The sequence below is a fragment of the Homo sapiens genome, chromosome 10, assembly GCF_000001405.40.
Source record: "Homo sapiens chromosome 10, GRCh38.p14 Primary Assembly".
Taxonomy (NCBI): domain Eukaryota; kingdom Metazoa; phylum Chordata; class Mammalia; order Primates; family Hominidae; genus Homo; species Homo sapiens.
Genome location: NC_000010.11, coordinates 4,053,153 through 4,068,605, shown reverse-complemented (window position 1 = coordinate 4,068,605; position 15,453 = coordinate 4,053,153). Strand labels below are relative to the sequence as shown.

Below are 15,453 nucleotides of genomic sequence, written 5' to 3'. Positions count from 1 at the left end.
TTAACCAACGTGTGACAATAAGCAGAAGATGTATCCTCAGAATGAAGGGCAGCATTGTAGGAAGGAAAGACAGCCAGCAGCGTCAGCTCAGGCTGTGGCCCTGGGAAGGACAGCCTTAGACACTGCCTCAGGGCTGGCAATTGTGACGTGACTCACGATTTTTAAGAGAGCAGTTTTATTAGAAGAGGGATCCAAATGGTAGTAGAATAAAGACTCTCTGGGAAGTAAGAGTCAGGGCTTCACAGCTCAGTCTCTTTCATGAAATTTAATATCAGAGAGAAAAGAAGATTAGGAAGTATCTTTGCAGGGATCTAAAAAATGCCATTACTTTGTATATTATAGGATGCATATATTTTCATATTTTAACAGCTTTGAAAGCAGAATGCATCTTACGATTGATGGCTTTTTTCTACTTTAATTGGCAGCATGTTTGCTTTCTCTGTGGTGCATAATGCCATGGTGCATTTTGTTACTGATATTGCTTTAGATGTCATAAAATATGAGTGGGTCATGAGTGACTAAGCTAAAGAGAGGAAACTCTCTAAGTGGATATGAGGGTGAGAGAGAAGGAAGTGGAAGAGGTTATTTGGAAGGGTGTTATCATTCAGTAAACATTCGTTGAGTGAGAATATTGAAAGGGATAGTGGGAGTGGATTTTTAAATAGAATCGTATGTCCAGAACTAGAATGAGGGAAGCAAGACAAGAGGGGGCTGATGAATGAGGAGGAGCCGGGTGACCTAAAGACTGGCTGCACAGTGAAAAGGAGCAATGTGCTCTGCCAGGGTGAGGACACTGGCAGGGAGAAGGGGCTCAGGCATGTGTCCCAAGAAAAAGGAACTTCTGAGATAGAGAAAGACAGGAGTTACTGGTAAAGGGGAGGGCCAGGGCCTGTCCCTTGAGTGGATTCTAGAAGTGAAACAAAGGTTAAAGTTGTGGGCGTGGAGGAAATTCATAAATTTTGAAGGTAGGGTGCTGGGTGGGCCGTTGACATGCACATAGGTGAGTCATGGCATGAAATATCAGAGGAAACCCGAGTGTCCCCAAAGTCCTCGAGGGCCACAGAAGAGTGACCCAAATGTAGTAACAGTGACAAGCATATGAAGAAATGGTGAATTTTAAAAGTGAGTAAGGAAATGGATTTACAGGAATAAATTCCTAGGCAAGGCAGGGAATAAACTCCTACACAGCAACACCTGTGACCCCCTCCTTGGGCTCCTTCACTCCTCGTGGAAACCCTGCCATTTCCTTTACTGTCTTCAGCTCATGGACAAGAAAACAGGAGCTCAGAGAACCTATGCAACTCATGTCCTATTTGAGGAGTCACTTGGCTTGGAGGCCTCTCCCCCAGAAGCCTGTGTTCTCAGACAGGACTTTGCTACTAAGTCAATTCTGCAATGAGATGGTCTCAGATGAATCAGCTACCAACTGAGAAACAGGAGTCACTCTTGGGGACAGAGGTAATTTCTCAAAAGGGCCTCATCTCCAGGGACTGTGCTCAGCCCACTATCTGCCTGGAGCTGCTGCTATAAACTCAAAGACTGTGCAGGGCAGGATCAGACAGGACAGGGGCCCCTTTTTGCTTTAAGCACTCTGAGTTTGCTTTCTGTGAGCTACATGGATTGGTGCTTGAAGGGAGTAAATATGCATGTCCCCTGCCCCACTCCACCTCTCTCCAGATACCTCCCTGACAGATCCCACTTAACTTGTTTATCAGATACCGGGCAGACACTTGCTGTGAGCATCTCTGAGAGCCCCAGGGCCGCTGGTGGTAGGTGGGGTGCTCTGGGGACAACTGCCCAGAAGAAGGGAGCTGACATCATGGCTGGGAGCATGAATATCTGGGGTCCTTGGTCTACTAAAATATTGAGTAGTATTCATAGTGAACACAAGAAAATGCTAAATGAAGTGGCATTTGTCACAATGATGAAAAGATGGCATAAACCACTGTTGGTGTGTCATCTTAGAAGCAGTGTGCTTGTTTTGCTCATAATCCCAAAACGTTCTGTTCTCTCTGGCAATGAATGTTGTGCATCAGTCAACGTCGTGTTGTCGTGTTTTCCTCTTGATCCAGCGTTCATTGCTCCTTCCATTGTCTCAAACACAAACCACCAGTGAGGTGGGTCTCTTTATTAGTCTTTTTGTAAGAGACAGGGTCTCACTATGTTGCCCTCAAACTCCTGATCTCAAACTCCTGGCTTTGATCCTCCAGCCTTGACCTCCCAAAATGCTGGGGCTACAGGTATGAACTACTGCATCTGATAAGTCTTATTTTCAGAGGCATTAAAGAAAAATGTTTATTAAAGTTCATGTAGTTAGTAAGTAGCAGAATTTGATCTGGATTCTAGGTCTTGAGCTTGAATCTGGGTTTTTCTCAATCCAAAACTCCTAGATCATTAAACAATATCACCTCTCATTAGTTGTAGGCCAGTATTCTTAGCCACATTCCTTTACTCAGTCCAGCAATGTAAATATAGGCGGTCCCATCACCAAAGAAATTAGGGGAAAAAAATAGTATTACTCTATTAATGCTGACTAGGAATATAGGGTGCAATCATCAAAGCTTCCAAAGTTCAAATTAAGGTGATATTAAATAATACAATGTTGCATGCTTAATAAAAATGAAAACTGTTCGTATTTATAGTTCACTAAAACCAGCCTAACTCACACTCGCGTCTCGGGTTTATCCAGGAATCACATTCAGGTGGGAAAGTTTGGGTTAAAGATCCATAAACACAGACTCTGCACTTATGTTATCCTGCTTGAAACATTTTCTTGGGGCTACCTTTTGTCAAATAAACTCATGGTATTTTACACTAAGACTCTGTGTGGCAACTCTACCGTGGTGCTCATGACAGCAGCCTGTGGGCCTGCTCCATGTGCTGTGCGGGGCACGGACCCCAGGACCTTAGTGCTTCCTCAGAGGCCAGCCTGTCCACGGTTGCCACCCTGCATTCTCACTCCTGACATTGCCAGACATGCCGAGGGGCTGGATATCATTCTTTCTTGCATTTGTTCACCAGGCAGCAGAGGAGCTGGGGCCCACAGGAGATGGTCGGAGAGGGAGTAGGTATGAAGTTCTATTTAATCTCACCTTGATAGGAAGTATGATGTCAAGCCGCCATGTCAATGCAGGGGCAGACACTGATGATGAGAAACGAAAGGAGAGGCCACTGAGGGAAAGCCAGAAGGGAGACAGTTTCGCGGCATTCTTTGTCCATTCTGGCTGCTGTAACAAAAGACCAGGACTCTGTAGCTTATGAACAACACACTGTATTCTCAATGGATTCCTTGAGGCTGGGAGTCCAGGATGAAGATGCTGGCAGATTTGATGTCTAGTGACAGCCTATTTCCTGGCTCATAGATGACATCTTCTCCCCATGTCCTCACAGGGTGGAAGGAGTGGGGCATCACTCTGAGGTCTCTTTTATGGGAGCAGTGATTTCACTCATGGGGCCCCAACCTCATAATCGCATCACCTCCCAAAGCCCCCACCTGCTGTTGCCAACACATTGGGAATTCGGTCTTCACATATACATTTTACAGGGACATAAACATTCAGTCCATTGCACTGAAGGTATAACCTACATCTACGTAGGGCACGTTTACCACCATTCTACAGATGGCACAAGGAAAGGGGTTACCAAACCATGCCGTGTTGATACCAGGAGGAAAACCTAGAGTATTCATTCCCAGGCTTTTACAACTGCGGGGCCAGAACCCGTCTCAAGTGAAAGTGAAGTGATTTCTCAGTAGAAAATGGGCCGTTTCTGAAGGTTACTGAAGGGAGCGTCTCCTTTTACCCTTCAGCTAAGTGATTTTCCATGAGAGAAATTTTCTAGAGATTAACAAATTCCCTTTTAAGTTTCTTTCTTTCCTTCTTTCTTTTTTCTTTCTTTCTCTCTCCTTTCTTTCTCTCTCTTTCTCTCTTTCTTTCCTTCCTTCCTTCCTTCCTTCCTTCCTTCCTTCCTTCCTTTCTTTCTTTCTTTCTTTCTTTCTTTCTTTCCTTTCTTTTTCTTTCTTTCTTCTGAGACGGAGTCCTGCTATGTCACTCAGGCTGGAATGCAGTGGCACAATCTCGGTGCACTGCAACCTCCACCTCCTGGGCTCAAGCGATTCTCCTGCCTCAGCCTCCCAAGTAGCTGAGATTACAGGTACATGCCATCACGCCTGGCTAATTTTTGTATTTTTTTGTAGAGACAGGGTTTCGCCATGTTGGCCAGGCTGGTTTTGAACTCCTGACTTCAAATGATCCCCCAGCCTCGGCCTCCCAAACTGTTGGGATTACAGGCGTGAGCCACCACGCCCAGCCCTGTTTAAGTTTATTCTGCTCAACTCAGATAGCCACCCTCAGTAGCCTCGAAGAAGAATCACAGAATGACGGAGCACTACTGGAATTTATCTGGCCAGTGGAGACAGGCATTGAACATCTAAGAAAACTGCCTCTCTTTTCCATTGCAATAGTCTTTCCAATAAAATGAAAAGAAAATGGAATTTTAAAACTTTAAGGAAAAGAACATGCTATTTCTTAACCTAAAAGTAAAGATTGCCCAGGGAGATGATAAAGGAATAAAATAATTCTCAGACTGTGTCTGCCTTCTAGTTTCAGCCAAGTCCCTAGATGACCAGAATAGATCAAAACAGCTGAGGGCAGCAGGAGGCAGGAGACCCCCTGAGTGACGGATATGCCTTCTCATGTGATATGGCAGGCACTCGCTCGGGGACAGAAACAGACATGATTCCCCAGCTCTAAGCCACTGTTGTTCTATGATAGATGAGAAGCCTTTCAAGCAAAATGTCTTTTTAAAAAATGTCTTGACTGTTCATTAGGTTTTATTATTATGATTGTTAAGTCAAATGTGTGTACACACTTGCAATTTTATTGACAGAGATCAAAGGCCTTTTAAAGCATTCGGTTTAAGGCAAGGGCCAAGCACCCAGAGCCTCTAAAAACTGTCACTACCTGGCCGGGAGTGGTGGCTCACGCCTGTAATCCCAGCATTTTGGGAGGCCAAGGTGGGTGGATCACTTGAGTTGAGGAGTTTGTGACCAGCCTGGCCAATAGAGTGAAACTCCATCTCTACTAAAAATGCAAAAAATTAGCCGGGTGTGTTGGTACACGCCTGTAATCCCAGCTACTCGGGAGGCTGTGGCAGGAGAATCGCTCGAACCCAGGAAGCAGAGGTTGTAGTGAGCTGAGATCATGCCATCCTCTTAGTCAGTTGTTTCCAGATTCTTCCCTCACACACTGATGTGTAACACAGGCTCCCAATGACATGGTGGCTTCTTCCTGAGGATGTGGGAGGGACCCCCTGCTCCCACTCCCCACAGCTCATGAGCTTGGCCTGCAGAGGGAGGGAAGGGGGGCCAGCAGGTCTGTGCTCCTTTGAGGGGGTGGCATCCAGCCCCATCCCATCCAAGACTTCTTCTAGGAGGTTCCCTTGGTGTCCCGCTAGGTAGTTAAGGGAAGCGAAGATTTCTTGATATGCATTACTCATGCAGGCCTATTGTGCATTTGAATCACCTGGAGATCTTGTCCACATGGTTTCTGGTTTGGGTGGTGGGGCGGGGCCTGAGAGCCTGGATTTCTGACAATTTTGGAGTAATGCCAGTCCTGCTGGGCCATTGGCCACACAGGTCAGGGGGCATTCACCTGTCATTATCTGTCCCATTCTTTCAGGCGCATTCGCTTGTTAACCAGAGACTGGGAGTTTTGTTGAATGCGTTCAAAGGCCTGTGACATTATTGCCCTGAGGCCACTGCAGCCCAGCTCTGTTCTGTAGGAATCAGTTTCTCTCCTTAGAGTGACAGGTGATCTCACCGCAGGGCTCCTTGGTTGAGTGTTGGCCCAAGGACACTATCAACTCTCAAGAGAAGCATCTGCCAGCCAGCCACCCATGATTCGCAGGGTTTAGGCTCTGGAACGGTGAAGAAGTGGCTCCACGCCATGGGCAGATCTGAAGGAATTCTTAGCAATCGTGTCCGTTCTGATGCTAAAATGAGGAAAATCTAAATCAACGCTGGGATGGACACAACAAAAGCAGAAATTCCAGCATATTTAGAAATAATCCCAATAATCCCAACCAGAAATAATCTAAGGTCTGCCATGGATAAAAATACAAAACCGGATTTAGGGCTAGATTCAGCAGGAAGGGCTTGTGGAATGACAGGAAGGAGAAGGGACAGGGAGGGGAGACACAGCTGATGGCCTCACTGTAGATTCAAGATGAGGATCAGTTAGAAGCATTTGGACAAAGGTCAAAGCTGTTAAAAAAAATTCATACACCATCAATCAAAATAAAACAACGTGAATGAAGTGACTCAGGGAACATGCAGTTTGGCTCAACTGTAAACTGCTTCAGTAACATCTTGCTCCCCTTCTCCTGGTCAAGAAACTACATTATTCATCTTCCAATAACAGATTATCGCCCTGTTCTTGGAATGAGAGGAGCTCCACATTGCTGGAAAATAGCACAGCTCACAACACCTAGAAGAATATCCACATGACTTTCAACATACTTTAGAAAAAAAATCACAACAAAGTGGCTCAATGACTAAAGAGAGACATTTCTTCTATTTGCCATAAAAACCAGAAAGGCTATTTGCAGAAAAAGAGCCAACATATTTTCTTGAAGTCATTGGTAGGCTGTCTCTTCCCCAAGCAGAAATTCAAAAACACAATATAAACATTTGGTTCAAGTCTTGGCACTTTCTGCAGTAAGAACAATACCCCTCCCTCTCCCTGGTGGTAGCAGAACTGGGGAGCCCTGGGCTGAGCCCGTTCCCTCCCTCTCTGCCATACTGCCTGCTGGAAGACTGGAGGAACGTCTAAACTTAGCACATCGTGGTGTAGGCAAGATTATGCAAGCACAAGGAGATAGTCCAAGCAAATGTTCTGAAATGAATTCATATCTTCAAGATCAGAGTCTAGACTTATTTGCCCAGACGCTCAGCACTTCCCTGCTCTTGTTTTTGAAAATTGTGGTCCTTGGCACCCAGTTAGTTTGTCCTATCTTCATAGATTCTGGGAGGGGGCCAGACACCAGCGTGACTGTCTATGCACACTGCGTGCTGGACTGTCATGTGTGAGGGCGTGTTGTGGGTGTGCCTGCACATGCCTGCATGTGTGAGTGCTCCTTCTTCAGGAAGTATTTTTACCTCATTGCACATTCCCCTTCCTGCATAAAATGAACTCCTTCCATTTCTTAACCAAAATGATTCTTGCCCATCAATCAGGATTCTGTTTAAATGTCATTTTCTTAAAGGTCTTAAAGGGTATCCTCAGATCACTGGAACCCAAGTAGGAATTTGGATAAATTATCTCATGTCCCAGTTCTTTTCCTTAACACATTTTTGCCATAATATATACCCTTGAATTTTTAATTGTTTAATGCCTGTCTCTCACTAGTCTACCAAATTACTGAGGATGGAGACCCTATCTGTTTCTTTATTGTTGTATACTTAACATATAACAAAGTGCTTAACACCTAGAAGCCAGGTAATTAATAAACAGTCAGATAAATACATGAGCAACTGAATAATAAAGATAACTCCATATAGTTATATGTGGAAATATATATATATTATATATACACTGTTGTGATTATCGTTATTACTTTTGTCATCACTGTTCTAATTTGGGGTTCAGTTTTTATTAATTATTTATAAAATTTAGTAATTTCTAGATTTACCATAATATAAATTAATTATTACTATCTAATACAAAATTACTGTTTACCAGCAAATTCTCACAAATAATTATTATAGTAACAAGAAACTATTACTATAACTAAATTATTACAAATTATTATTATAGTCTATGAATCCAACAGGAAACAGCAGCTCTTATTTTGAATAGGTAAGGTTTCTAAGCTGGAGGGATCAGGTCTTCCTTATCCAGCTTAATTTCTAGTCCTTCCATGACATTTTTCCAGATAATATGCCGGGACACCCTTAGCATTCCATCAAGTTTTGGGTAAGAATATTTTCCATCTCTGGCCAGCTTGATTTGCCGAGCTGTGCTAGATGTCAGCAGCTGCACTGGACATTAGCTGAGGGTAAATAATGAACATGCATCAGCTTCCAACTCTGTGCCAGCCTGTGCCACATCTTTGGCCCTGGGTAAGGTTAGCCTAAGTGATGCCAGCCAAACACCCTCTGCAGGCTCCTTCCCATCTTCTTGGTTCCCCTTCTTCCCCGATGCACGCCCCCCACCCCCCAAAAAAGTCTGTCACTCCTGCTGCTCAGCCTAAGGCAAGCTATACACAATTGTTGATGCACGAAAGAAGATATGCTGGACACACAAAATGAAACAAACAGAAACTCAAGGCCATCGACGCTAAAGCAACCCTTCTGGCTGGTGTTTGGAGACCAACACAAACTTTCTGGAGCATATGTCAGCATTTAAGATGGGAAAAAAATGGAAATCAAAAGAGTCCCTTTCCCCTGTTCCTGTCTCGCCACTCCCAAACCGTCGTTACTCTGGTCCCTTCAGGTGAAATTTAGGGTTGGTGGAAGGAGGGTGGTGCCCTGGGCCAGGTGGTCAAGAGTAGCATCACAGCTAGTTAAACTCAGGGCAACAGGAAGGAGACTAGACATTAACGACTGAGGTGTAGCTTCCTCTTGGCGGACGTTCCACATTACCACTGACTTTGTGCATCCCTGCTCATCTAAGCTGTGGTTAGATGTCATCTAACTTGTGGTTCTCAACTTTGGCTACCCGTCAGTCACCTGGGGAGCTTTGAAAACTCCTGGAAGAAAAGACCCCGGAGGCACCTCAGGCCAATTGGATCAGAATCCCTTGGGCTTCCAGATGGCTCCGATGCACCATTACAGCTAAAATGCTTGAAAAGGGTCACAAGGCGTTCAGGTGTTAAATCAGACACAGAACAGAAGAAGCAACTGCTCTGTTTAAAAATAAGAGCCACCTATAATGAATGCTATTTTTAAGAGGTTTTATACAAGCAAAATAAAGCATACAGCCAACGCCACTTTCTTTCTTTTTTTTTTTTTTTTTAAACACAGAGTCTTGCTCTGTGGCCCAGCCTGGAGTACAGTGGCACGATCTTGGCTCACTGCAACTTCTGCTTCCTGGGTTCAAGAAATTCACCTGCCTCAGTCTCCTGAGTAACTGGGATTACAGGCATGAGCCACCACACCTGGCTAATTTTTGTGTTTTTAGTAGAGACAGGGCTTCACCATGTTGCCCAGGCTGGTCTTGAACTCCTGACCTTGAGTGATCTGCCCACCTCGGCCTCCCAAGGTGCTGGGATTATAGGCGTTAGCCACCACACCCAGCTTCTTTTACTCTTACAATAAATTTTGCTTTGTTAGAGTGAAAATAACATCAACTGTGTTACTCTGTATGAAAATGTTCTTTTTCCCTGTTTGGTTTTACAGCATCTCCATTCCTACAGCTATAATTTTATATGATGCCTTGCTGGTATTTGCAGAGCAAAAATATTATATATTATATGTAGTTCCTTCTGCCAAAAGGTATAGAAAGTTTTGTAAAACTATGGAAGAGGAAAGAGCATTAGGTTTATTTTTAACTCATAAAAATTTTATTTGCTTTTTTTTTTCCCCTTTACACGGGTTGCTGTTACTTTAAGAGTCTACTGGCATTTAACTGGCAATAAAAAGGGCAAAACAAACTGTTCCTTCCTTTAGATTGTGCAATTTTATTGCGCTGTTTTAGAGGGACCAAATATGCCTTTAAAAGAAATGCATGTTTAACCACCTTCTTTGTGTAAAGCAGTAGGTCTGTGAGTTGACAAACCCCAAGGGTAAGGTAGTGGTTCTGTGTGTGCCTGATGTTTTTCAGGGATACTTAGAAACAATCTGAAGCTGAGTGGCATGGATGGCACTGGCTCCGCATGCAACCAAATCAAAGACGACTGAGTTTAGCTTGAGCCCAATCATGTCTATACTCAAAGTAAACGCAAAGGCGTCTGGAAGACCACGGTGATATACTATGGCTCTAACCAGAGGAATCAGCATAGAATTATATGTTTACACTAAATTGGGAAGCCATTGACCAGAATAAACGTTTCACACTTAATCGATGACACATTTTTGATCATATAGGCAACGCTATCCAATACCAACAGTGGGTTCTATCTTGCCTTTGGTGATGCTGTGCTTTCTGTTTTCATAGCTTTCTACACATGTTCACATAGATCGAAAAAACGGCAGCGTAATGAGTCAATAGCAAAATGGTCACTGGCGTTTCAAAATATTACTCAGGCAGAAAATAATATGTGGATTTCATAGCAGTACGTATATTTAAAAATAAAAGTTGGAGAATTTGGAGGAAAAGAAGAATTTTTTTGAAAATATGTTTTGCCTCCAAGGGAAATAGAGCAATAACCTCCACTATCAGATAGCTTTTTATTTGTTTTTCCTCTTTCCTCATGGCTCTGTTATTTTCTGTGGTCATAGCAGCAATCAGAAATGAAAAGATTATTATTTGCTATGGGTGGGTGCAAAAGTAATTCAAGTCTTTTTTCTCTAATGTGGCTTTATTACCACTTTCATCAAAAATGTTATAATAACAGTATTTAATTTTGATGGACTATTTCCTGCACACTAGATACTTTGCTAAGTACATTATCCACACTGTTTTATTTAATACATTAGGAAGTATTTATCTTATTGTACCATTTTGCCATTATGAGTCATAGACAACTCAAGAAACATCCCGATGTCACACAGCTAGAAAGTGTGAAGCAAGCCCATTCTATTAAATATTCCCTAATAAAATGCTGAACTCTATTTTTCCTTGTTTTGCTAATATTTACTTTTGAAACTTTATTAGTAAGTGTATGTAAGCTTAGTTATATTTTCCTTGAGAAAATTGAAACATTTGTGTTATATAATGATCCTCTCTCTTTATCTTTAGTAGTGGTTTCTGCCTTTTAAGTCTCTTTTGCCTAATAATAAGAGCATTAAATCAGCTTTCCTTTGTTTGTCTGTGTGTACACGCATATGTGTACAATTGTGTGTATTTACATAACATTTATATATGTATATCAGTTTATAACAGTGATAGATATAGATAATCAGTTTACAAGAAGAAAAATTCTTTTAACTGCCAAATTTTCTAAATTCTTGTAATTTGGATGTGTCTCTCGTAAATAGCATTTAGCTAGATATTTTTTAATCCAGTATGAAAATATTTGCTTTTCAACCAGAATGTTGAGTCGATTCCCATTTAGTGTTGAAGGGAAGAGTGCTAATTGCCTACAGTTTCCATTCTCCACTTCTTCCTTCTACTCATAGAACCTTCTCCCAGGTCCTTCCCTGAGCTGAGTGTGTCCTGGGAGTGCTCGTAGCTACGTATGAGTGAGCTGGGGGAAGTAGAATGGAGCAAAGGTGCACAGGCTGCTGGGGGTGACTGGGTCTCAGTCTGAGAAAGGAGCTCCTAGGTGTCCACCTTCACCCGTTCCTGTAGACCCAGCTATGGTCACAGCTGAAAAGGCACCTTAGAGCCAGTGAAGCAGGCCGAGAGAAGAGTGTGCAGGGCCATCCACAAGCCTATGTCCACTCGTGGGGACTCTCCAGAGAGGGAGAAATCCACTCCTCTTCTCTTCCTTACAGAAGCTCAGCCTGTTCTTCCATCAGAACCTTTTGGATTGCTGACATATTTGACTTTTATTTTACTATCTCATATTGTGCTTTCTATTCTTCTCATGCGTGCTATCATTCTTTTGGACTTTTCTTCCTTCTTGGCGTTTTTTGAATTTAGAGGCTTTTTTCCTCTCCCTACATTTAAAAATTTTCCACCAAGTTGAATTTACAGTCCCTATTTCTATTATGTTAGTGTTTAGTATTATTTAACAGTTCCCATACAGAAGTCAAAATTTAATCACCATCTCTTCCCTTCTCCATTACAACGCAAAGGTCTATGCATATTGAATGTCTATAACATTTGTGCCCTGTATCTTAATTATAACATTTAAATTCCATAAACTGAAATTTTTCTTTATTTAGGTTCCTTTGGCAACTCTCAGATTTTATGTCTTAATTTTACACTCATTCTTGAAAAACAGTTTTAGTGAACATAAAATCAGGTTGACTATTGATATTTTTCAACACAAATAGGAAGTAATTTCAAGTCTTTTTTGATTTCCCTTGTTGCATCTGGGAAGAAACGTTAGTTCTTATTGTGATTCCTTTGAAATTAATCTGTATTTTCTCACTAAGGGCTTTAAGTAACTGCTGTTTGTTTGAAATTGTATTTTGAGTAATATAGCTGTTGATTTTTCTTTTTACTGTATCCTACTTGATATTCGACTTCAGAATAGGCGTCTTTCAACAAATCTGGAAACTCCTTACATGTTAACTATTCAAATTCTCTCTTTTGGAAATCTGAGTAGATGAATTTTAGAACTCGCCTTCTTCATCACACCTCTTTAATTTTACTTGCTTTATTACTACAATTTATATCATTATATCAGATTTACTTTCCAATTCACTAATTGTCTCTTCAACTGTGTAATTCATAATTGAAACTGAATTATTATTTTTTAACTTCAGACACTTTATTTATCATTTCTGAAAATCCTACCTGGGGCTGGGCACGGTGGCTCATGCCTGTAATCCTAGCACTTTGGGAGGCCGAGGTGGGTGGAATACAAGGTCAAGTGATCGAGACCAATTTGGCCAACATGGTGAAACCCCGTCTCTACTAAAAATACAAAAAAAATTAGCTGGGTGTGGTGATGCACATATGTAGTCCCAGCTACTTGGGAGGCTGAGGCAGGAGAATCACTTGAACCCAGGAGGCAGAGGTTGCAGTGAGCTGAGATCACACCACTGCACTCCAGCCTGGCAACAGAGCAAGACTTCTTCTCAAAAAAAAAGAAAAAGAAAAACGAAATTCCACTTGGTGTTTTCCTTTCAAATTTGCTTGGCTGTTTTGTAGAGTCGTCATTATTTGCTTACATTTTTTAGTCAATTCCTATATTTAACTTTATGAAGCATGTATATAATATACACATATGTTACCTTTTATTATTTATAATATATAATTACATAAATATATCATTTGTAACAGTAATATAATTCATAATGATAATAATTTATAAGAATATATAATTATATGGTATATAATTATAACAATTTATAATGGTAATATATAATAGTATCTTTATTTATAAATATTTTAATTATAAATTATTTACAAGTAATATTATAAATAAACATAGTATTTATGTATATGATACATTTATATTATATATAACATTATATAATATACTATAGCTGTATCATACCTTAGTCAATTCCAGTGTCTAAGAGTGTGCAGGATTGGTTCTGCAGTCTGTCGTGTCTGCTGTGTCTCACTCATTGTGCCTTCTTCCTTGAGGTGTTGTGTGTGGTATCATGATGTTTTTCATCATCTTTGAAACCTACCACCGTGAGAATTATCTGAGGCTGTGTTCTAGGTCTATTTCTCTAGAAAACATTTGTATTTGCTTCTTTTAAGCATATTATTTTAAACTTCAAAATTGTCTTCAAGGTTTACTGGACCAAAAATTTTGCTGAAAATTTATTCGGACAGCATTACAATTTGATGTGAGGGCCAGGTTCTGGTTATGATCAGGAGTGCTTTGTTGATTCATTTCCCTACACTCAGGGCCAGGATGATGGAATGCACATCTTTCTGGTGTTCCCTTCTGTCAGGTGTGTTTATTTCTAGTTCACTCTCATGCAGAAGGTGCAGCCATCGAAGTCTCCTTCTGACCCCGCCTGGTGGTTCTGAGCCTTGGCCTCTCCTCCCACAGACCCTCCACTGTCATCTGAGATTCCCTGGAGACGAAGGCAGCTTTGGGGCTCAGCCTACATCTGACTTTATCTGACTTTGTCCTTTATTGTGGGTGTGAGAGTGGTGGAACTGTGATCCTAAATTACTTTTTGACAGTCCAGCAACAGTGTATGTGTGTGCATGCATGTATGTGTGTGGATATGAGCCTTAAGATTTTCTGGGAGGAATAATGAGATAGTATTTCATGTGTATTTGTGTGTGTTCTGTGTATGTTATTTATTTCCAGAATGGCAGAAAGCTCGTGGTGGCAGAAAACATTTCTTTCATGCATCTGTCAGTGTTCTCTGTGCAGCTGGAAATGTTGTGAATATCTGGTTTTTATAGTAAGTTTTCTGCCATGGATTTGCCCAATAGCTAATCAACATTGATACGGTTTGGTTCTGTGTTTCCACCCAAATCTCATCTTGAATTGTAATTCCCACCTGTCCAGGGAGGCAGGTGATTGGATCATGGAGGTAGTTTCCCCCATGCTGTTCTCGTGATAGCGAGTGAGTTTGCACTAGATCCCTGATGGTTTTATAAGCGTTTGACAGTTCCTCCTTCGCACACACACTCTCTTCTGCTGCCTTGTGAGGAAGGTACCTACTTCCCCTTCCATCATGACAGTAAGTTTCCTGAGGCCTCCCGAGCATGCAGAACTCTGAGTCAATTAAACCTCCTTTGTTTATAAATTAACCAGTCTGGGTAGTATCTTTATAGCAGTATGAGAACAGACTAACACAAACACCGTCTACCTCTGTAATCTATGGACACCACCAAGCATTCGTAGCAGCCAAGCCCCTGTGATCAAGCCCACTTGATCAGGTCTGCCATTCGGACTCTTGGGCCTCTTGCATCATCAGGGGAGCAGACCTTCTTTTTAATATGTCCATGAGTAGATTTGGAAAGAACAGTTTCTGTGGGCATGTTTCTCACAGAGAAGAAAAACACAGAAATCAGCTGATTATCCCTTGTAATGAAAGAATGTTCAGCTTGATGATATCTTTAATAACCAGAAAATTAACTATGAAATACTCTAGACTCTGGGTGGAAAGAGAAAACAAAAAGCAAAAAAAAAAAAATAGCAACCTCTTATTTAACTTTGCATTTGTTTAATATTTTATGAATAAAGAGGTTAAGTATTGTCCAGTGTTATGAAGATGAGAGAAATACTTTCTTTTCTTCTTTTTCAATAAGTAGATTTTTATCATCTCTTTTTCTGACCATGAGAATAATTCATGATCATACAAGACGGTCAGGGTTCAAATACCAGCTCCACTGGTCACTAGTTTTATGAACTTGTAAAATTGTTTCAATTCTGCATGCCTCATTTATAAAAGCACAGAATCGCGGTGATTCTGACCTGAGGCAGTTTTGAGACTTCAGCTGTAAATGATTGTAAAACTTTCTGTGGAGCCTGGCACTTGGGAACCACAATCACACAAATGGTAATCAAAAAAATAAAAATAATCTTATAATATCTTGGTTAAATATGTATATATATATATATATATATGTATATAATCAATATTGAAAAACATAAATAAGTGAAATTGCCAATGATGTCGCCCTGGGAATTAGTTACTGACGGCATAGGTTGTGTTTCTCCCGAGCAATGCACCGGGAGCTTCTTGTCTTCTCTTCCCAGATC

The 15,453-nt window shown here is 41.4% G+C and overlaps 1 long non-coding RNA gene across 1 annotated transcript in view; it reads right to left on the bottom strand.

Annotated features, from left to right (window-relative positions):
* LOC107984195 (uncharacterized) overlaps positions 1 to 15,453 on the bottom strand; it is a 59,329-nt gene that overhangs the window by 15,645 nt on the left and 28,231 nt on the right. The window contains exon 4 of the long non-coding RNA NR_176060.1: positions 13,273 to 13,407. This is a non-coding gene — a long non-coding RNA (uncharacterized LOC107984195). The remainder of the gene's footprint in view (positions 1 to 13,272; positions 13,408 to 15,453) is intronic.